The 20,844-nt window shown below is 45.7% G+C and overlaps 1 protein-coding gene and 1 long non-coding RNA gene across 7 annotated transcripts in view, besides 2 other annotated features; both read right to left on the bottom strand.

The window, feature by feature from the left end:
* Window positions 1-228, bottom strand: part of SH3BP4 (SH3 domain binding protein 4) — a 103,698-nt gene extending 103,470 nt beyond the window's left edge. For both annotated transcript variants that reach the window (XM_047443849.1, NM_014521.3), the window contains exon 1: window positions 75-228. The gene's annotated coding sequence lies outside the window, so the exon portion shown is untranslated. The remainder of the gene's footprint in view (window positions 1-74) is intronic.
* Window positions 446-19,556, bottom strand: LOC105373938 (uncharacterized). Of its 5 annotated transcripts, none has more exons than XR_007088131.1 (7): window positions 19,367-19,556; window positions 6,543-6,602; window positions 3,122-3,381; window positions 2,460-2,659; window positions 2,275-2,378; window positions 894-1,647; window positions 446-806 (listed from the first exon to the last, which is right to left on the bottom strand). It is a non-coding gene; the product is annotated as an uncharacterized LOC105373938 (long non-coding RNA). The 5 variants fall into 5 exon arrangements; XR_007088132.1 differs by having other exon boundaries at window positions 2,310-2,378; XR_007088129.1 differs by having other exon boundaries at window positions 665-806; window positions 894-1,022; window positions 1,310-2,378.
* Window positions 16,785-17,285: an enhancer, noted in NCBI's record as "H3K4me1 hESC enhancer chr2:235843604-235844104 (GRCh37/hg19 assembly coordinates)". NCBI's record gives its function as "activates a minimal SCP1, AML or CMV promoter by ChIP-STARR-seq in naive H9 embryonic stem cells {active_cell/tissue: H9 hESC(naive)}" and the evidence as "EXISTENCE:reporter gene assay evidence [ECO:0000049][PMID:30033119]".
* Window positions 19,471-20,016: an enhancer, noted in NCBI's record as "NANOG-H3K27ac-H3K4me1 hESC enhancer chr2:235840873-235841418 (GRCh37/hg19 assembly coordinates)". NCBI's record gives its function as "activates a minimal SCP1, AML or CMV promoter by ChIP-STARR-seq in primed H9 embryonic stem cells {active_cell/tissue: H9 hESC(primed)}" and the evidence as "EXISTENCE:reporter gene assay evidence [ECO:0000049][PMID:30033119]".

Raw genomic sequence — 20,844 nt, 5'->3', positions numbered from 1 at the left:
CGAGCACGACCCCGCGCCCCCGCCGGCCCCCAGGGCCCTGCCGCCCGAGGCGCTCCCCGCCGCCGCCTGCCTACCTGGCTCGCATGGCGTCCCCGCCGGCTCCTGAGGCTCCGCTCGTCGGCCAGCGGCTCGGCCCAGCCGGGGGCGCGCGCGGCTCCGCGGGACTCACGGCGGCGGCGGCGGCGGTAGTGGCGAGGGGCCCGGACCGCCGAGAGTGCCGGGCGCGCTGGGCCCCCGCCTCGGCGGGCGGAGGGTGGTCCCGCGCCTGGGCGGGGGCGGGGGCGGGGGCGGGGGCGGGGGCGCGGGGGGCGGGGCCAGGACCGGAGCTGAGGCCGCGGAGGGGGTGGTCCCGCGCCGGGGCGGGGCTTCGGGAGAGGGGCGGGGCGGGGCGCGGCCGTCTGAGGCTGGCGAGCGTGGGGCGGGCTGGGGGTGGTGCCGCGGCTCCGGGTCCAGGCGGGTATCCAGTCTGGGCGCCTCCTCTTCTTCCTCCGCCCGGAGCCGGCCAGGGTAGCGGGGCCTTGGCCGCCCGGCATCCTCGGGTCTGGGTCCCCGGTACCGAGCAGGTCTGGGTGCTGGCCCGCGCTCCTGTGCCCCCCCGCACCCCCATCTCCCACCCCTTCTCCGGGAACCCCTAGCGAGGACCCCTGGGGCGGTGCGGTCCCCCCGCGAGCGGGCGTGGGCGAGGGTCGCGCCGCGTTCGGAGACGCTTTACTACACCTTGGCTGAGGACAGTGGAGGGAAGGCAGGCGCGAGGCTGCGGGGGCCGGAGCGAAAGTTACAAACTAACAACAGGGAAGGCAGTCCGGCTGAAAATCATAAAAGGAGGAGAGTTTCCTGCGAAGCGGAATGCAGATTGAAGGGCTCTGGTCGGAATCGTTTACACTTTGTCTGACCTGGGCGCCTCTGGGCCCCCGGCGCGTAAAACAGGCCTGGCACGTAGTAGGCGCTCCATCAATGCCCAGTGAGTGAACGCACCACTTAACTATGTGGCCAGCAACGTCTATGGACCGACACATCTAATCCTAAAAAAAAAAAAAAATCCCAATTTTGGCTAGTCCATTTCACACGAGTAAACTAGAGCTCGGAGGGTTGGTTCGCCACAGAGGAGAAGGGTAGAACCAGAATCTGAACCGAGGCCGACTCCAGAGGCTGGGGTCTAACCACTGCGCCACTGCCTGGGGCCCTCGGGACTGCGCCCACCCCCACCCCGGGAACCCGGAGCCCAGGAGAAAGCGCGGGTCTTTGCCGGGGAAGAAGCCAACATTTGTTGCTCCTGGTCCTGAGCGAGACACACACAGTCAGTCCTCACCATTAACCCCGAGGCAGATATTGTTATTGTCCCCGTTTTTATAGGTGGCTTGAGACGTGCAGCACTATGTTATGATCGCATGGGGCGTGCCAGAGTCTGAATTCAAACCGGGTATGTTCAGACTCCCGAGCCCCTGCGGCTGCCCCTAAGGCCTGCCGCTCCTGCCGTCTGGGAGACCTTCCTTTCCCTAAGGAATCTGGTTTTCTGCCACTCCATTTGAAGTCTGTGTTGAAGTTTCAGGAGACACAGGTGGACAGAGGCACCGACCTAGGGCTCGGGAGAAGGGTGGACATTGCTGTTCCGATTTTGGTGTCATCTGTGTGTAGATCATGGAATTCCTGAAAATGGATACGAGTATCCCTAAAATACATGCCGCAGATTTTGAAAGGAGGCAGTGAGGCGAAGGGGCAGGTGGAGGAAGCAGAGAAGCCTCCGAGCAGAGGAGAGTTTCTGGGTGGCTAGGAGGTCTGATTGGTGTAGGGATGTGTCTGGAGTGTGCTTGAATCTCTGGCAAGTTATCTCGCCTCTCTGTGACTCAGTTTCCTAAATGAGTGTAAAAATGAAAGGCAGCATGTAAAGTGCTCAGCAGACTGCCTGGCACACAGTAGCTTTCAGTAAGTTTTAGCTACTATTAGTACTGCTATCCCAAATGACATCCACACTGTGTTTTTTAAAAAATGCCTATAAAAACATTGAAAAAGACAAGCCAGTAGAAAATGGACAAAAGCTATGAAGGTAATTCCTGAAATGCCACAAATGGCTCAAAGCATGAAAAGCTCCTTGACTATACTAGTGAGGGAGCTAAGGCAAAACATACACACACAAAAAACAATCGAATAAGAAAACTCAAGGCCTGTCCAGGCAGCTCAGTTCACTGAGCAGAGAGGGAGAAAGATACCCTAAAAACCACAAAGAACAAAGTGCCATGGAAACGCAGAATAGAACATGAATAAACAAAGCATTACAGATTTCGCCTGGGGAAGCAGAGAGTGTGTCTTACGATGTCCACATATGTATGCGCAGTACTTGCTATAGTCATGCCTCAAGCATCCTCAAACCAGTCCACATCCTAGAGAGGAATTAACAGAGGTCAGAATGTTTAAACAAAGTGGTTAAAAAAAAAAAGAAAAAAAAAACAAGAACACATTACCTTATATTCTTACTACAGTAACTGGAATTCTTCTTCAGCTCCTATGAGCCAGGGAGACAACATTACTGGTTTAGATGTAAGTTGTTTATGAACTGTTTTCTTTTTGTATCCTGGAAGGCAGAAAGGTCTCTAGATGTTGCTTCCTGTTGAATGTGTGCTTTTTTTCCACCAGTTTTTGTTACTTGCTCTTCTAAAGGCCTCTGGATCAAAAGAAAAAAAAATGAGCTATTCATTCATAACATTCAATTATTCAATAAGCCTTTCCAGTGGGAACACATACAGCAAAATCAATAACTTGGGTTTTTATTTTTTTTTAGTACAGAGATAACACATTTGTTTCAAAGGATTAAAATGATTAGAGAAATGTGTAGAGTAAAAAGTAAGCATCGATCCTAAGTTCCTACCCTTTCCCAGATTCCATAGTTCACAGTGAATTATACTCTACCAGAGGTTTTCCCCAAGCGTTTGCACGCGTTGGGTGCGTGCATGTGTAGATGATACATATGTGCGTGATGTGTGTGGGTATATATACGTGGACATGCATCTATGTATAAAGACAGTGTGGTAGGTTCTAAAATCAGGCTGCCCAGCTTTGAATGCCAGACCCACCACTCACCTGCTGGGTGACATAAAGCAGGGCCACTCAGTACCAGTGTTCTCACCTTGAAGTGGGTACAGTGCTCCCCAGGATTAATGGAGGTGCTGCATGGAGACTGCTTAATGTAGTGCTGGGCGCACGGCACATTGTTTACAAATATAAGCTGTTACTATTCGTGTTTACACACACATATACGTTATTCTTTGTTTCACATTAATAAGTTGAAGACAGTGAAATTTGGATGTCTCAAAAGGACTCCACTTGGCAAATCTCTCGGTGAGCGCTGGCTCCTCTGTGTTGGGGTGTACTCAGCGGCTCTGTTGTCTAGGAAAGTAAGATGCACACAGATGAGCAGGGAAAGATTGGGGTAGGTTTGACAGTCAATGTGCTGCATCTGTTACTAACACCAGCAACAGTTCAATCACACCAAGCACCACCAATTCATTCCAAGGACTTCTCAGAATAGATACAACACTCCCAGAAAAAGCAGCCCGGGCAAGAATAACTCCCAAGTAATATACACTATCCCAAACTCTACATAAGCTCTCTAATATGTTATAACATTCTGACCACCTATAAAATACACTTCATATTAGGAAATAACTACTCAGAAATTGCATGTGGCCCATAATGAAAATATCTCTCTATGGACAAAAACATTCTCAGCAATGAAATAAAAAGAATAATGTTCTTCTGGTGAAGTGAAATCATTAATGATCAAAATGCCCATGTCACAGGGAAAATAGAATACAAATGTACAAAACACAGCTAAAGGGCAAAGAAGAGCACAAGGCATAGGATATTTTTCAAATGGAATCTGTAAGAGTAGAAATTTAATCGTCAATGTGGGTGAATGGATTTTTAAATTAGTTGCCTCTGACTCAGAATGCAGAGAGAGGACCTGTTATCAAAATGCAAGCCTAGATACATACCCTCTGTTGGTGATAAAATTTGGATATTTGTTCCTTCAAAATCTCATGTTGAAATATGACTCCCAATGTTGGAGGTGGGACCTGGTGGGAGGTGTCTGGGTCATGGTGACAGACCCCTCATGGCTTGGTGCTGTCCCCCCAATAGTGACTGAGTACTGGGGAGATCTGGCCTTTGAAAGTATGTGGCACCTCCCCCTCTTTCTCTTGCTCCCACTTCGCTTTCCACCATAAGTAAAAGCTCCCTGAGGCCTCATCAGAAACTGAGCAGATGCCAGAGCCATGCTTGTACAGCCCACAGAACTGTGAGCCAAATATATCTCTTTTCTGTATAAATTACCCAGTCTCAGGTATTCCTTTATAGCAACACAAGAACAGCCTAATACAGTGGATTTAAGTTGAGGGAGAAAATGCTGCTTACATGATTCACAAGCCTACAGAATGACATTCATTTGTTCAAGAAATACTTATTGGACATCTGCTGCATGCCAGCCCCGAGCGTGGCCCCAGGGAGTGAGAGCCCTGGTGAGACAGAGGCAGCTGAGATTCCAGAGTGGACCCAGGCAGAAGGGGAACCACAAAGCCTACAGGTGGTGATAAGCATCCTAAAAGAAAGCACAGTGGGCTGTGAACTAGGATGAGGTGAGACCTGCTTTATGTGGGAGGGCTGGAGAAGGCCCTAGGGGAGGTGACATTGGACCCGAAGGGAAAGGAGTGGAGAGGGGCGTGCTGGGCAGAGGGAACAGCATGTGCAAAGACCCTGAGGCTTGAAAGCGCTTCACACCCTCAGGGAACTGAAATGACACCAGTGAGGCTGGAGAGAAAAGAATGAAGTGAATGGAAAGAGGGAAAGAGAGAGATTCCAAGGGGACCGTGTTGGGAAATGGGGGCTCATGGGGCATCTAGATGCTGCCCATCCTCTGTAACTTCCCCAGCAGCTTGGAGAACGTTACTTTGCCAAGAATTCAGTGAGACACTAGCTATAAGAGAGAGCAAGACTTCGGTTTTGCCAGAAAATGTTGGGTGATCTGTTTGCCATTCTGAGAAGCCTCTATCCTTCCAGTTCTAAAAAGCTGTGACAGGGAGCCCCACCACATGGCTGACTGTCCTTAATAAATGTATATGCACTGGGCCTGGGCACTGCGGCTCACGCCTGTAATCCCAGCACTTTGGGAGGCCAATGTGGGTGGATCATCTGAGGTCAGGAGTTTGAGACCAGTCTGGCCAACATAGTGAAACCTCATCTCTACTTAAAAAAAAAAAAAAAAAAATAGCAGGTGTGGTATCACATGCCTGTAGTTATAGCTACTCAGGAGGCTGAGGCAGAAGAATCGCTTGAACCTAGGAGGCGGAGGTTGCAGTGACCCGAGATCGAACCACTGCACTCCAACCTGGGCGACAGAGCAAGAATCTGTCTCAAGAAAAAAAAAATTCATATGCAGTGGGACATAACCCAGGCATCCCAGGAGCATACAGAATCCAGAAGGGATGCAGAGACAAAATGATCTGCTGAAAAGAGTTCTGTGGCTTTAAGGAAACTTCCAGAAATACTTCTAAACAAATATTCATTACCTTGCTCATTTACTCACTTATCCATTCAACAAATATGTGTGGAATGCTTACTGTGTGTCAGGCAGTGTGCTAGGAGCTGAGGATAGGAAGATAGGTATGTTCTAGATTCTTCTACTTAAGGAGTACACAGTTGCTATCATTCTATATAGTTAGTCTATAGAACGATAGTTGGATAAGTGTCAGGGTACACAGAGGAAGGCCACCTGGACCCATCCTGGATGTAGGTGGGCATGGGTATCCTCAGGGATGGATGATGAAGGGTGAATACGATTTGTTAGTAGGCTTAGAAACAGAGCTGGGGGGCCGGGCGCCGTGGCTCACGCCTGTAATCCCAGCACTTTGGGAGGCCGAGCGGGCAGATCACTTGAGGTCAGGAGTTTGGGACCAGCCTGGCCAACATGGTGAAGCCCTGTCTCTACTAAAAATACAAAAATTAGCTGGCTGTGGTGGCGTGTGCCTGTAATCCCAGCTACTTGGGAGGCTGAGGCAGGAGAATTGCTTGAACTGGGGAGGCAGAGGTTGCAGTGAACCAAGATCGCACCACTGTACTCCAGCCTGGGCGACAGAGCGAGACTCCGTCTCAGAAAAAAAAAAAGAGAAACAGAACTAGGGGACAGACATCCCAGGCAGAATCTGCAAGTGCAAAGTTTGGAGGTTTGAGGAAGTTCCAGGGAAGGAGCAAAGGGCTTTCTGTGTCTGGCAAGGAGAGTGGGATATTTCTGCGAGGCCAAGGAACACCAGGCCAGACATGCAGGTTACCTCAAATCCCAGAAAGTCCTGCAAAGCATAGAATCAAAACTGTACAAGGCCAGTTGTCTGCACGTTAATATTTCAATGTCAAACTATGAAAATTTAACAAAGGCATTTTGGTGAGTTTGGGAATGTAAAAAAGAGGTGACAGGTTTGCAATCCACAGCCAGTCTTGTGATTAAGAAATAGCACGAACAGCAGAACATTCTGCCCAGAGGGCTGAGATTTACTCACACTTGTTCCTCTGGTTCACACATGGCTTTTCCACATGGCCTGGGAGAAGTTGCTTTATTTCTTAAAAAAAAAAAAAAAAAAAAAAAAAAATCAGGGATGGGCGCGGTGGCTCATGCCTGTAATCCCAGCATTCTGGGAGGCCGAGGCGGGCGGATCACATGAGGTCAGGAGCTTGAGACAGACCTAGCCAACATGGCGAAACCCTGTCTCTACTAAAAAATGCAAAAATTAGATGGGTGTGGTGGCGAGCGCCTGTAATCCCAGCTACTCGGGAGACTGAGGCAGGAGAATTGCTTGAATCCTGGAGGCGGAGGTTGCAGTGAGCCGAGACGGCACCACTACACTCCAGGCTGGGCAACAGAGCAAGACCCTGTCAAAAATAAATAAATAAATAAATAAATAAATAAAAAAAAATCAGTAACTACTAGTCATGTCAACATGGATATCAATTGGATTTAAATAGGGATTTAAATTGGTGTTTTCCATTTACATCAAAAAAGGAGAAAGATCTCAAACAACTTAACATCATGCCTCAAGGAAATACAGAAAGAAGAATAAACTAAGCCCATTGTTAGTAGAAGGAAAAAAATAATAAAGATCAGAGGAGAAATAAATGAAAGAGACTAAAAAAAAAATACAAAAGATTAATAAAACCAAGAGTTGGTTTTTTGAAAAGATAAATGGCCAGGTATGGTGGCTTATGCCTATAATCTTAGCACTTAAGGAGGCCAAGGGGAGGTGAATCACTTGAGGCCAGGAGTTCGAGACCAGCCTGGCCAACATAGTAAAACCCTGTCTCTACTGAAAATACAAAAATTAGCCAGGTGTGGTGGCGTGTACCTGTAGTCCCAGATACTCGGGAGGCTGAGGCATGAGAATTGCTTGAACCTAGGAGGTGGAGGTTGCAGTGAGCCAAGATCTCATCACTGCTCTCCAGCTTGGGTGACAGAGCACGACTCTGTCTCAAAAAATAAAAAAAAAAATAAAGAAAGAAAAAGAAAAGATAAACAAAACTGACAGACCTTTAGCTAAACTAAGAAAAAACGAGAGGACAAATAAATAAAGTCAGAAATACAAGAGGAAATAATACAACGTGATACTACAGAAATATAAAGGATCCTAAGAAACCTCATGGTTTCACTGCTGAATTTTACCAAACATTTAAAGAATAACTAATACCAATCTTTCACAAACTCTTCCAAAAATTAAAGAGGAGGAAATACTTCAAACTCTTTTTATGAGGCCAGCATTACTCTGACACCAAAACCAGAAAAAGACACTACAAAAAATAAATCAATACATAAATAGGTAAGTAAAACTACAGGCCAGGATCCCTGTTGAACATAGATACAAAAATCCTCAAAAAAATACTAGCAAGCTGAATTCAGCAACACATTAAAAGGATCATTCACCATGATTAAGTGGGATTTATCACAGGATAGGAGGATGGTTCAACAAATGTAAATCTACAAATGCAATACACCACATTAACAGAATGAGGGACAAAAACCCTGTGATCATCTCATCAGACACAGAAAAAGCATTTGACAAAACTTGACATCCTTTCATGATAAAAACTCTCAACAAATTAGGTATAGAAGGAATGTACCTCAACACAATAAAGAACATATATATATGGTAAGCACACAGTTAGCCTTGTACTCAATGGTGAAAAACTGAAACCCTTTCCTCTAAAATTCAGAACAAGACAAGGAAACCTACTCTCACCACTTCTATTTAACATCATGTTGGAAGTCCTTGCAATTAGGCAAGAGAAAGAAATAAAAAGCATCCAAATGGGAAAGGAAGAAGTGAAATTGTTGCTGTCTGTTATCCCATACAGAGGAAACCTTAAAGATTTCACCAAAAAACTGTTAGGACTTAGAAATTAATACGTAAAGTTGAGGATTACAAAAGCAACACATAAAAATCAGTAGTTTCCATTGATTTGTTGACACTGCAGACTTTCCAAAAAACAAATTAAAAGAGCAATCTCATTTACAATGGCTTCAAAAACAAAAACAACTTAAGAATAAATGTAGCCAAGTAGGTGAAAACCTGTATACTGAAAACCATAAAATGTTGATGAAAGAAATTGAAGAAAACACACATAAACAGAAAGATATCCTATGTTCACAGATTGGAAGAAGTAATATTGTTAAAGTATCTGTGCTACCCAAAACAATCTACAGAATTAATGAAATCTCTATAAAATCTCCAATGTAATTTTACATAAAATAGAAACAATGATCCTAAAATTCATACAAAACCACAAAAGAAATCCAAATAGCCAAGGAAATCACACACAAAAAGAGCAAAGCTGGAGGCATGACACTACTTGAATTCAAACTATACTACAAAGTGATAGTAATTAAAACAGCATGACACAGACATAAAAATAGACACATTAACCAATGGAACAGAATAGAGAGCCCAAAAATGAATGCACATCTGTACAGTCAATAGGTTTTTGACAAAGGTGCTAAGAATAGACAATGGGAAAAGGACAGTCTGTTCACTAAATGGTACTGGGAAAATTGGACATTCATATGCAGAAGAATAAAATTGGATCCTTATCTCACCCCATATACAAAAATCAACTCAAAATGGATTAAATATTTAAACATAAAATATTAAAAAAAATAGCCATGTCTCAAGACTTGAGACTATAAAACTACTGAAGGAGAATATTGGGGAAAAATTACATTAGTCTACATAATGATGTTTTTAGATTTGATTCCAAAAGTACAGGTAAGAAAAGCACAAATAAACGAAGGGGATTACATCAAACTAAAAAAGCTTCTGTACGATAAAGGAAACAATTAACAATGAAAAGGCATCCCACAGATTGGGAGGAAATATTTGCAAGCCATATATCTAATAAGGGGTTAATATCCAAAATATATAAGGTACTCAAACAACTCTATTAGGAGAAAAAAAAAAATCTGATTTTAAAATAGCAAGAGACCTGAATAGATATTTCCCAAAAGAAGACATATAAATGGCCCACAGATATATGAAAAAATGTTCAACATCATTAATCATTAGGAAAGTGCAAATTAAAACCACAATGAGACATCAACTCACACCTGTCAGAATGGCTATTATCAAAATGACAAAATGTAGCAGTGTTGGTGAGGGTGTGGAGAAAGGGGAACCCTTGTAGGCTGTTGGTGGGAATGTCAATTAGTACAGCCATTATGGAAGAGAGTATGGAAGTTCCTCTAAAAACTAAAAGTAGAATTACCGTATGATCCAGCAATCCCACTTCTGGGTATTTACCCAAAAGATTTGAAATAAGTATGTTGAAGAGAAATTTGCACTTCCATGTTCATTGCAGCACTATCCACAATAGCCAAAATATGAAATCAACCTAAGTGTCCATCAACAGATGAATGGAGAAAGATAATGTTGTATATATACACGGTAGAATACTATTCAGCCTTTAAAAAGAAAGAAATTTTGTAATTTTCAGTAACGTAGATGGAAGAGAAAAACATTATGCCCAGGCACAGAAAGACAAATACCACATGTTCTTACTTATATGGGAAATCTAAAACAGTCAAACTCATTGAAATGAAGAGTAGAATGGCGGTAACAGAGGCTGGGGGTTGGGAGCATGAGGAGATGACAGTCAAAGGGTACAAAGCCTCAGTTAGACAGGAGGAATAGTAGTTTTTTTCTTTGAAATCTGTTGCATAGCATGGTAAATATAGTAAATAATAGTGTATTGTATGTTTCAAAATTGCTAATAGAGTAAATTTTAAGTGTTCTCACCCTAAAAACTGATGAATATTTGAGGTGATGGATGTATTTGTTGGCTTGATCTAATGACTTCACATTGTATTCATGAATCAAAGTATCACTTTGTATCCCATAAGTATATACAACTATAGCTTGTTAATTTATAATAAAAATGATAATTTGATATAATCAGAAAAAAATTGCTGTTTTCAAGAAAGTGAGGGGGATGTGGACACAGATTCCATAGCAAAACCTGCAAATTTTTCTTCTCTTTTGCTGTTGTGTCTACTGGTGGGTGGACTTTTCTCTCTGTGTGTAAGATGTTAGAGAAGGCATTCTCTCTTCTTCCCTCCGTCTTCCTCCCTGTCTCCCACTCTCCCTCTTCTTTTTTCTTTCTCTCCTCCACCCTCCTCTCCTCTCCCTCCCTCTCTTCTTTCCTTCCCCCTTTTCTCCTGCATTATAAGGAGCTTTACCGCTTAGCTACCTTAGCCACATTTCTGTTCTCGTTGACCTTTTGAGGGCCAGAGAGAAGCACAGATTTGAGATTGCTGTTTAGATAGCACATTTCTCACTGGGGAGAGGTAAAGGTCTGGTGAACATGTGGCTCTTAACATCTGGAAAGTCAATAGCAAACCTTTGTATTCCTGGCCTCTGGTGCATTTTGGGTTGCCTGCCTGCCACTCTACCACCTTGTTCATGAACTGTACCCCCATCTTCCTTTAGGGAGTCACACTCAGATGTGTGCTTCTGGTGGCACCCACAGCTCCTGACTCCAGGACCAGCCAATCGGAACCTCCAAACCTCAGGGGCAGACACCTGAGCCAGGTCAGGCCAAGGGGACAGAAACCCGGGGCTTTTGCTGGAAGCATGCGGGAGAGAAGCTGCAAAGAAGCCATGTCCATTTCTTATTTCCATTTTGTTTTGGTTATAAAGGGCAGAGGAGGGAAATGATTTGCTTCTTTATGCTTGCTTGTGCATCAGGTGCTTTTGAGAGATAGTTTGAAAAAGAAAAAAAGAAAACAAGAAGTGCCCTGGTGGGGTGCTTGTTTTGTGCGGGGCCCCATTTCTGCAGCCCAGTAGGTGATGAAGAGAGCTCACGCTTGCTGGGACTCTAAGACATCTGAGCCTGGACCTCACAGTTCATTCTTCCCCAGCGGCATGCTGGCCTGAAAGCAGGTACTGGCCCTGGAGAGGAATTTGGAGGCTGCCAGGTGCCCTGCGCCTCTGGTCAGTGCAGAGCAGGGCAGCACTTGGAGCTGTCACTGAAGAGAGGCTGTGTAGGGCGAGGGCCCGCTGCGGGCTCAGCTTTGGGGTGATCTCTCCCTAAGGACCTCCCCTTGAGCTGGTAGTTTTGTGTATCAGCCTGTCTCCCTAGGGGTTCTGGGAGGGCAGAGAGTGGAGGGCAGGTGGCTCTGCTCCCTCCCCAGGTAACGGGCATGGTCAGAGAGGGCCACTGTGGGGGCAGTAATCTCACAGGCTCACTGTCTACACACACTTGGAAAGAACAGGGAGGGGGCTTCCTGATTTTCTCCTCTGAGCATCCGAATCTAAATTATCATAGATGAGGGCAGGAAGGAACTCGTCTATTTCTGGAGTCTAATATGTGAGAAGTTCTTTTAGACAGCAACTAAAGGACTGGGTCTCAAAAACTGTCACATATTAAAAATGTCTAATTCTATGCTGCAGGCTAAAAGCACCACCGCCCTCCCACCAGCCCTCCTACGTCTGTTTCTGATGTCAATTTCTAGTTCCTTCTCCTCATAGAGGCAGGGTATGGAATCTAGGCAATGGGACACTGGTTTCTGGGCTGCTTCTTAGTCCTGTATAAACCTGATCTATTTCATCTTCACAAGAACCGGCCACCCGTATCTCTCAGGGGAGGACTCCCAGGCCTGGCAATTGTCTCTGTTTATGCAGTTGTTCCAAATGCCACCTTTGGATTCCAATTCTTTATCAGTTGTTTACATGGGAAGTTCTTCCTGACATTTATTCTGCTCCGCACCTTGCAGGTGGACCACCCTGCCTGGGCTGGGGTACTCTCTGATGCCCTGGCCTTTGGGTCTAGCGTCTCAGGCAGCTGTGGAAAGAGTCAGGCAAAGGCATAGATTGTCATCTTCAGATCTCTCTGCATACTTTCCAGGTTAGCAAGTTCCCCAATAAGCACCGAGTCTGTGGAAAGAGTCAGGCAAAGGCATAGATTGTCATCTTCAGACCTCTCTGCATACTTTCCAGGTTAGCAAATTCCCCAATAAGCACCGAGTCAAATTGAACTAATAGCTCTTGAGTGCTTCTTCTGAGCCAGATACTATGCTGCACACATTGCCTCCTATTATTTTCATTTTTACAAACTCATTCTCAGTGATTAAATACTTTGCCCAAGATCACAGATAGATAGCTGGGAAGTGGCACATGACAGGCTCGAACCCAGGTCTCCCTAACAGCATATGTTTTTCACCTGCAACTCTTGTGCCTACTGATGCTTCCCCACAGGTGAGGGCTGTACAGTCCTAGGTGTGCCCATTGCTGCCTGTGTGACCTTGAATAGGTCACTTTTCTTCTCTACAGTTGGATCAAATAAGCAGATGAACTAGATCATCTCTGAAGTCCCCTCAACCCTTGACAGGCCAGGTCCATGTGTTCATTGAATAAACGTGTAAGAGCCTACTGTGGGCCAGGCATTGTTGGAGTCACAGGGAATATTGCAATGCACATGCTGTCACAGAATTAAAATCAGGTAGGGGTAACAGGCAATAAATGACAACATAAAAAAGTCTAGGGGATGCGTTTTCCTTTCTCCTTTCCCTAGACTTGAGAATCACTGCCAAGGAAGATCATCAAGAACTCCAAGGGAAAAAAGGGCCGTTCAGAAGGAGAGGGGGCTATTCCCACACACAGAGGCTCCCAGGGTTGCAGTGTGCCCCGAGCACAGGCTAGAGTCTGACATCTCTGGGGTGGAATGGGATAAAGGCAGACTGTTTCTTCAGGCTTATTTTTCATGCCCCTGTGTGCTCCAAGGGGATTTAGACAGTTCGTGATAAATAATACAAAGTCCATAAAGCCATTAAAAAGAAAGGAAATGTTTAGGAGCCTTGTAATATGGACTAAAGATGGAAGGAGTTGTGTTTTTTTTTTATCCCAGCAAAACTTGGCTGAGGTGTATGCCTGCAACGGAGCATAAGATTTAACACCGAGCTCCCAGGTAACTAAAGAAAATGGAACACACAGGAAGTTATGAATACACTAATTATCCACTAACAATAATTTTATCACTTATCCAGAGAGACCAGAGTTTTTCACCTCTAATGCGCACAGCGCACCTGATGGATATGTATTTCTTCCCTCGGTGTTCTTACAAATTTCTTTCTGTTCCCAGGGTTGTGAAATTTCTTGAGATGTCACTTTGTGTTCTATTTTCATCTATTGTGATTTGTGATGAACAATTTAACAGCCTTTCAATCTGGAAACACACGTGCTTCTTGTGTTTAAATTGTGGGAGATTTTCCTGAATTTTTTTCTTTAATAATTTGAACCCGGCCTGGCGCAGTGGCTCATGCCTATAATCCCAGCTCTTTGGGAGGCTGAGCGGGGGTGGATCACTTGAGGTCAGGAGTTCGAGACCAGCTTGGCCAACATGGTGAAACCCTGTCCCTACTGAAAATACAAAAATCAGCCAGGCGTGGTGGCGCATGCCTGTAATCTCAGCTACTTGGGAGGCTAAGGCTGAAGAATCACTTGAACCCAGGAGGCAGAGGTTGCAGTGAGCTGAGATTGCGCCACTGTACTCCAGCCTAGGTGACACAGTGAGACTCTGTCTCAAAAAAAAAAAAAAAAAAAATGAGCCCCTCCATTTTCTGTCTCTGGAACTCTGATTTTTTTCTCTCTCTGGGACTCTGATTTTTTTGGATGTTTGACCCTGTGTTCTTTATTTTTTTCCTCATGTATTCCCTATCTCTGTGTCCATTTGCTCAGCTCTTTTTAGATACTGGCTTCATTTTATTTTCCAAATTTTCTACTGAATTCCAAAATCTTTGCCATTATACTTCTAATAGTCTATTTTTTTTAAACACAAATATTAGCCTCCCACCAACACTATTCTGCACCTTACCTTCTGCCCAAACAGAATATCCTGGAAATGGTGTCAAAGCAGAGGACAGAGTGTTGCCTCCTTCTCTTTAATGGACATACAGTGTTTCATTGCATGGCTGTGCCAGACTTTATTCACCACGTTGGGGTGGTTCTGAAGGATGACGGGCATCCACTAACTGAGAGGGGGCTCTGGGCATCACAGGTAGAGGAGCAAGTCGGTGGGAAGATGTGGGATGTGAGATAGCCTGGGACATTGCAAGAACTGGGCATGGGTGGCCAGGATGAGATTGTAGTACATGTGTCTGTGCGTGTGTGTTGGAGAGAATGTGACTTGAGAGTCAGATGAAGGACAGGTCGCTTTTCCAAGTGATGTTAACAGAATACTCTAGACTGAAAAGCAGAGGAGGGCCGTGAGGACATCTGTTCCTCAGAAGTTCCTCCTATCTGCAGTGTGGAAGGTGGACCAGAAGGGGATGAGACTTGGGTCATGAAGGACAGTTAAATGGTTGTTTCAGAAACCGGGGCAAGAAGTGATGAGGGTTGGAACGGGGGCAGTGGCAGTGTGGTAAGCAGAGATGCTCGATGTGAGGACGGCAGGCACTGTCTGGTTTGTGGCTGTGTGGAGGGAACGAAGGAGAAGACTAGCACGATGCCTCCGTTCGGCCAGTTGACTTAGCAGACAAAGTCTCCCTTCACAGGATGGGGAATCCCAGAGAGGAAGCAGTTCTGAGGGGAATGAAGAACTTAGGTTTGGACATGTTGAGTCTGAGATATTTCTGGGACATCCAAATAGAGATGTCCTAATGATGGGGGTCTGATTCTTAACCAAGAGGTGTGGGCTGACGTTGTAGATTCATCGGGACAGTGATGGAAACTGTCATTCACTCCTGGACACCTTGGCGCATGCTCTCCCTCCACTCGTTCCTCTCTCACTGTATCTCCCCTGATGCTCCTCGAGCACATGCAGCAGGGACCTGCCTGAGGGTCTCTGGACTTGCTGTTCTGTTTGCCAAGTGCACGCTCCCCAGGACTTCATGTTGGCCACCTTCCTGTGTCATTCCATCTCTGATCAGCAGCCTCCCTCTCTGATCACCCTAATCCAGGTAGAGCCCTCTCCTAACTGTTACTCTCCATCAGCTTCGCCTCCTTTTCTTTTGCTGCCCAGTGTTTATCATCACCTGTCTTTGTGGTACATACTTAAGCATTCATTTATTTGTCACTTGTTCCTTGCTCTCCGCCCTCGCTCTGCATTGAAATGTAAGTTCTTCCAGAGGAGAGGCGATTGCCATATCCACTGGGCCTAAACACTCCCTGGGAACAAGTTGGTGCCCCAGAAATATTTGTGGAGGGAATGAGTGAGTGTCCAGAGGGAGTCAAGGGAAGACTCAGAAGGTACCCTTGGGGAAACAGAAGGGAAGTCAAGGTAGCCCAGCCTCCAAAGGCCAGGAGAGAACAGATTTCAAGTAGGAGAGATGGGTCAGCCATGTCAGATGTGAGTGGGATGGCAAAAAAGAGAAAAGCAAAGGACCCCTGTTGGTTTGGCAACAGGAAGAGCATGGGCTGCTTTAGCCATGACAGAGGGGCAGAGGGCGGAGGGCAGACTGGGAGGTGAGAGTGGGTGACTAGGGGTCAGGATGTTTTTAAGAAATTTGTTATGCATAAAGACATACAGAGTGATTTAATGGACTTTGTGGACTCCGGGGCAGGTGGGAGGCAGGTGAGGGACAAAAGAGTACACATCGGGTACAGTGTACACCGCTCAAGTGATGGGTGTTCTCAGTCCCAGACTTCACCACTACAGAATTCATCCGTGTAACCAGAAACAACTTGTACTCTCAAAGCTATTAAGATTTTTAAAAAAGAGAAGAAACTGGCTATGAGTGGATCAAGATAAGGGAGGAGCTAGAAGGAGACCAAGATATTTTCCTTTTTTTCCCCCTCCAAATCATTGTTTATTGGTTTTGAGGTGCAACAGCCAGATAAATGACAGGGCACAGTCTGAATGGGCACCTGGAGGTGCCTTTTCAGAGGCAGAAGCATCTGAGATGGTCGCCAGAGTCTAGAGGTGGCAGTGGGGGCAGGAAGCAGGCAGGGCCTGTGCCCTCTCTGTGGAGGCAGCGGTGCACCGCCGGGTCAGTCTCTCTCTGCCTCAGCCCCTCTACTGCTCCCCTCTCCCCATAAGTAGGCTCTGATAAAGCTGGCCTCCATAAGTATGGATTTTCACACATTGTATGTTGCACTTGCTAGTGTGACTGAGGCTGGTGAGAGTCAGGGGTGCCTCTTATTACAGTGTTGTGCTGTCTGAAGTCCCTACCTTGGCCTGTGGACCTGGGCTTCGCCTTTCCCTCGGCTGCCTCTGCTCTCCACTTGTCAGGCTGTCAACACAGAGGCAGCCCTTCCTGTTCCCCACCAGGAAACCTGCTCTCCAGGCAAACCCGGCCACTGGAGGTAAAGAGTCAGTTTGGGGCCAGGCACAGTGGCTTACGCCTGTAATCCCAGCACTCTGGGAGGCTCAGGTGGGTGGATCACAAGGTCAAGAGATTGAGACCATCCTGGCCAACGTGGTGAAACCTCGTCTCTACTAAAAATACAAAAAAATTAGCCGGGCATGGTGGTGCACACCTGTAGTCAGTCACAGCTCCTTGGGAGGCTGAGGCAGGAGAATCACTTGAACTCAAGAGGCGGAGGTTGCAGTGAGCCGAGATCGGGCCACTGCACTACAGCCTGGTGACAGAGTGAGATTCCGTGTCACACACACACAAAAAAAGAATCAGTTTGGAAGGAAGAAGACCAGGATATCCAACCCCTTCCCATTTGTGAAGGAGACTTCCAGACAAGGCAGTGGTGGAGCCTTGGAGGAGGTTCCCATGCTCCCGAGTTTTCTCAGCATCTCTGCAGAACACAGAAACAGGAAGTTGATGTGTGCCCAGGAAGTGAAGTGGGAATGCAGTCCTCAGGCTGGAAAACTGAGGTTTGGGAGCAGATGGAAGGGCCACAGATGGTTGTGTTATAAAGGGACAACCAGACGTAGATGGTCAGAGAGACAACACTATCGCCAGGACAGCTCTGAAAAATATGATGATAACATTTCAGAGAGTCCAGAATGGAGACGGGGCAAAACCAATAATCAAAAGATTTGTAGAATGAGCCGGGCGCAGTGGCTCACGCCTGTAATCCCAGCACTTTGGGAGGCTGAGGCGGGTGGATCACTTCAGGTCAGGAGTTCGAGACCAGCCTGGCCAACATCACGAAACCCTAATTCTACTAAAAATACAAAAATTAGCCAGGCATGGTGGCGGGTGCCTGTAATCCCAGCTCCTTGGGAGGCTGAGGCAGGAGAACTGCTTGAACCTGGGAGGCAGAGGCTGCAGTGAACCCAGATCATGCCATTGCACTCCAGCCTGTGCGACAGAGCAAGAGTCCATCTCAAAAAAAAAAAAAAAAAAAAAAAAAAAAAAAAAGATTTGTAGAATGAAATACAAATCAGACCGAAAATAGAATTCCAACATGAGGAAATCATGGCTGGAGAGGGCAGGCAGTGACCCGAGTTGAACATATGGAGATAAAGCCATGCAACTTTTAAGACACGATTTTTAAAAGTACTTTGTTGTCATTGTTGAAAGAAATGATTTGCAGAGAAATATGAAAATGATGATGTTTACAGATGCAGATTAATTTGGGTAGGGGTGGGGAGGTAAGGAAGAAAACTTCGAAATCTACTGTTTTCCTTATAAGGTTATTACAAGGCTCCTTTCCTTATTGACTTTGACAGTTAGTTTCCATTAAGTTTAAGAATACATTTTTAGGCTGGGTGCGGTGGCTCACGCCTGTGATCTCAACACTTAGGGAGGCCGAGGCGGGCGGATCACGAGATCAGGAGATCGAGATCATCCTGGCTAACACGGTGAAACTCCGTCTCTACTAAAAATACAAAAAATTAGCCAGGCATGGTGGCACGTGCCTGTAGTCCCAGATACTCGGGAGGCTGAGGCAGGAGAATTGCTTGAATCCAGGAGGCAGAGGCTGCAGTGAGCCAAGGTCACGCCACTGCACTCCAGCCTGGGTGACAGAGTGAGACTCTTCCTCAAAAAAAAAAAAAAAAAAGTACATTTTAAAATATTTTCATGTAGGCCAAGCACAGTGGCTCATGCCTGTAATCCCAGCACACTTTGGGTGGCCGTGGCAAGAGGATCACTTGAGCTCAGGAGTTTGAGACCAGTTTGAGCAACGTAGCAAAACCCTGTCTCTCTAAAAAATACAAAAATTAGGTGGGCATGGCGATGTGTGCCTGCAGTCCCAGCTACTCAGAAGGCTGAGGTGGGAGGATCGCCTGAGCCTGGGAGGCAAGTCTGCAGTGAGCTGAGATCACGCCACCGCACTCCAGCCTGGGCAATAGAATCAGACCCTGTTTCAAAACAATTTTTTTCGTGTAATAATTGTTAGATTAAAAGAATATTTACCTCACAAATCAGTACGAAAGTCTATACAGGAAAATAAAAGGGGGAGAAAAAGACCTCACTCAAACAAAACCAAACACAGCAGAGAGGAAACAATTACAGAAGCAAAACTGAAGAGAAACAATGTTGATGGGTATAAATGGGTTAATTCAATAAGTAAAAGGAAGCAAATTGAATTTAAAAACAAAAATCCAATAATAGGCTGCTTACAAATCAGACCCATGACATGATGACAGAGGGAAAGAATTAAAGGCAAACATATAGTACCAGGTACATGAGAACCAGAAAGGAAGTGAGCGGGGATATATTAGCATCAGCCGGGATTCAAAGCGAAAATCCTCCCTGGGAAAGGGGAGGTCTGCTTGCTCTGCATGATAAGGGAGGAAATCAACACTGTCTCCCTAGGGGACCTCATCCACACGCCCACAGTTAATGATCATCTATATGCTAATGATCCTTGATTCACATCTCAGGCCCAGATCCAATCTGTCACCCACCTCCATACCCCACTTCCATTTGTCTGTTTACCACCCTTACCTGACTCAAGTTTCTGCAAGAGTGACCAAGGTTCCCATCTGCCCAGGCCTGCGGGGGTTTTCATCGGCATGAGATTTTCAGTGCTGAGCTGGGACAGTCCCAGGGAAGCCAAGACGGTTGGTCAGCCCAAGTCCCTCTGTCACTGAGAAGGGGACGCCCTGTTTGCTCCATGCTGCTCAGCGCAGACTGTGATCCCAGGCTCATTTCTGCTTCCTTTGTCTCAACGTACAAGGAGGGCAAAGCCTGTGTTTGGGATTGTTTGCCTTTGTGTCTGCGCCGTCTCCCACATGCCTGACACGGAATCAATGTTGGCGGAATGAAAGAGGAAATGAATGATGGCCTAATGTCAAGACTCTTAATGTGCCGCAAAGCAGCATCAGAAAGCACAAGGCAACTTCCAAATAATTTGCTCATTTAAACATTTAAACACATTTTTTAAAAGTATAAAACAAAACATGGGCATCAGGCACGGTGGCTCATGCCTGTAATCCCAGTACTTTGGGAGGCCGAGGCAGGTGGATCACTTGAGGTCAGGAGCTCGAGACCAGCCTGGCCAACATGGCAAAAAACCCGTCTCTCCAAAACAAACAAACAAACAAACAAAGCAACGATTAGTAGCCAGTAGCCAGGTGTGGTGGCGCAAGCCTATAATCCCAGCTACTCGGGAGGCTGAGGCAGCAGAATCCCTTGAATCTGGGAGGCGGAGGTTGCGGTGAGCTGAGATTGAGCCACTGCACTCCAGCCTGGGTGACAGAGCGAGACCCCGTCTTAACAAACAAACAAACAAACAAACATAACCACATTTGTATGTGTGTGTGTGTGTGCGTGTGTGATGTTTCCTTTGGCCACCTTCTCTACAGAGATCATTCAGAAATACCTCCATCTTCTTGAACTCTCCTCAGTCTTTCATTTGTCCGCATCCACTTGTTTTGCTTCACAGAAGTTCAACTTTTGCAAGATATTTTAGTTTCCTAAGATTTTGGAATTTCTTCAACTTTGCTGAGTAAGTTTGGATTTCAAAAAAAAAAAAAAAAAGAAAACAAAACAAAACAAAAAAAAACAGAATTAAAATAGAGTGGCCATTTATTACTAACTAAAAATGTTTTTCCCCTTGATGTAGAAATTGCTCATCTTGGTATCATTTACAGAAACACTTTCTATTCCCCAAATATTTATTAATGAAATATTTTTATCTCCAAACATGCCTTCCAAATATTTACTTCTTAGCAATGCTTTTGCAAAGTTCTGTTTATAAATTGCTAGGAGAAAGTGGTGAGAGTCCCTCTTACTTCGCAGGACTAGGGTAACTTGGGTGAAAGGTTGTTTGGTTGTTGGCTTTGCTACAGAATAATAGGTTCAGTTCTGTTGTGTTTTGTGTGGTTCCAATGTTTAAAACACGTATCCAAGAATAGATGCATATGAATTTTCTGCAAGAGAGGATCTAGCTATAATAGACCCAAATAGATGAGTGAAACCTG

The sequence above is a fragment of the Homo sapiens genome, chromosome 2 (assembly GCF_000001405.40).
Source record: "Homo sapiens chromosome 2, GRCh38.p14 Primary Assembly".
Lineage (NCBI taxonomy): Eukaryota > Metazoa > Chordata > Mammalia > Primates > Hominidae > Homo > Homo sapiens.
Note: the sequence above shows the minus strand (reverse complement) of the source record. Positions and strands in the feature narration are given on the sequence as shown.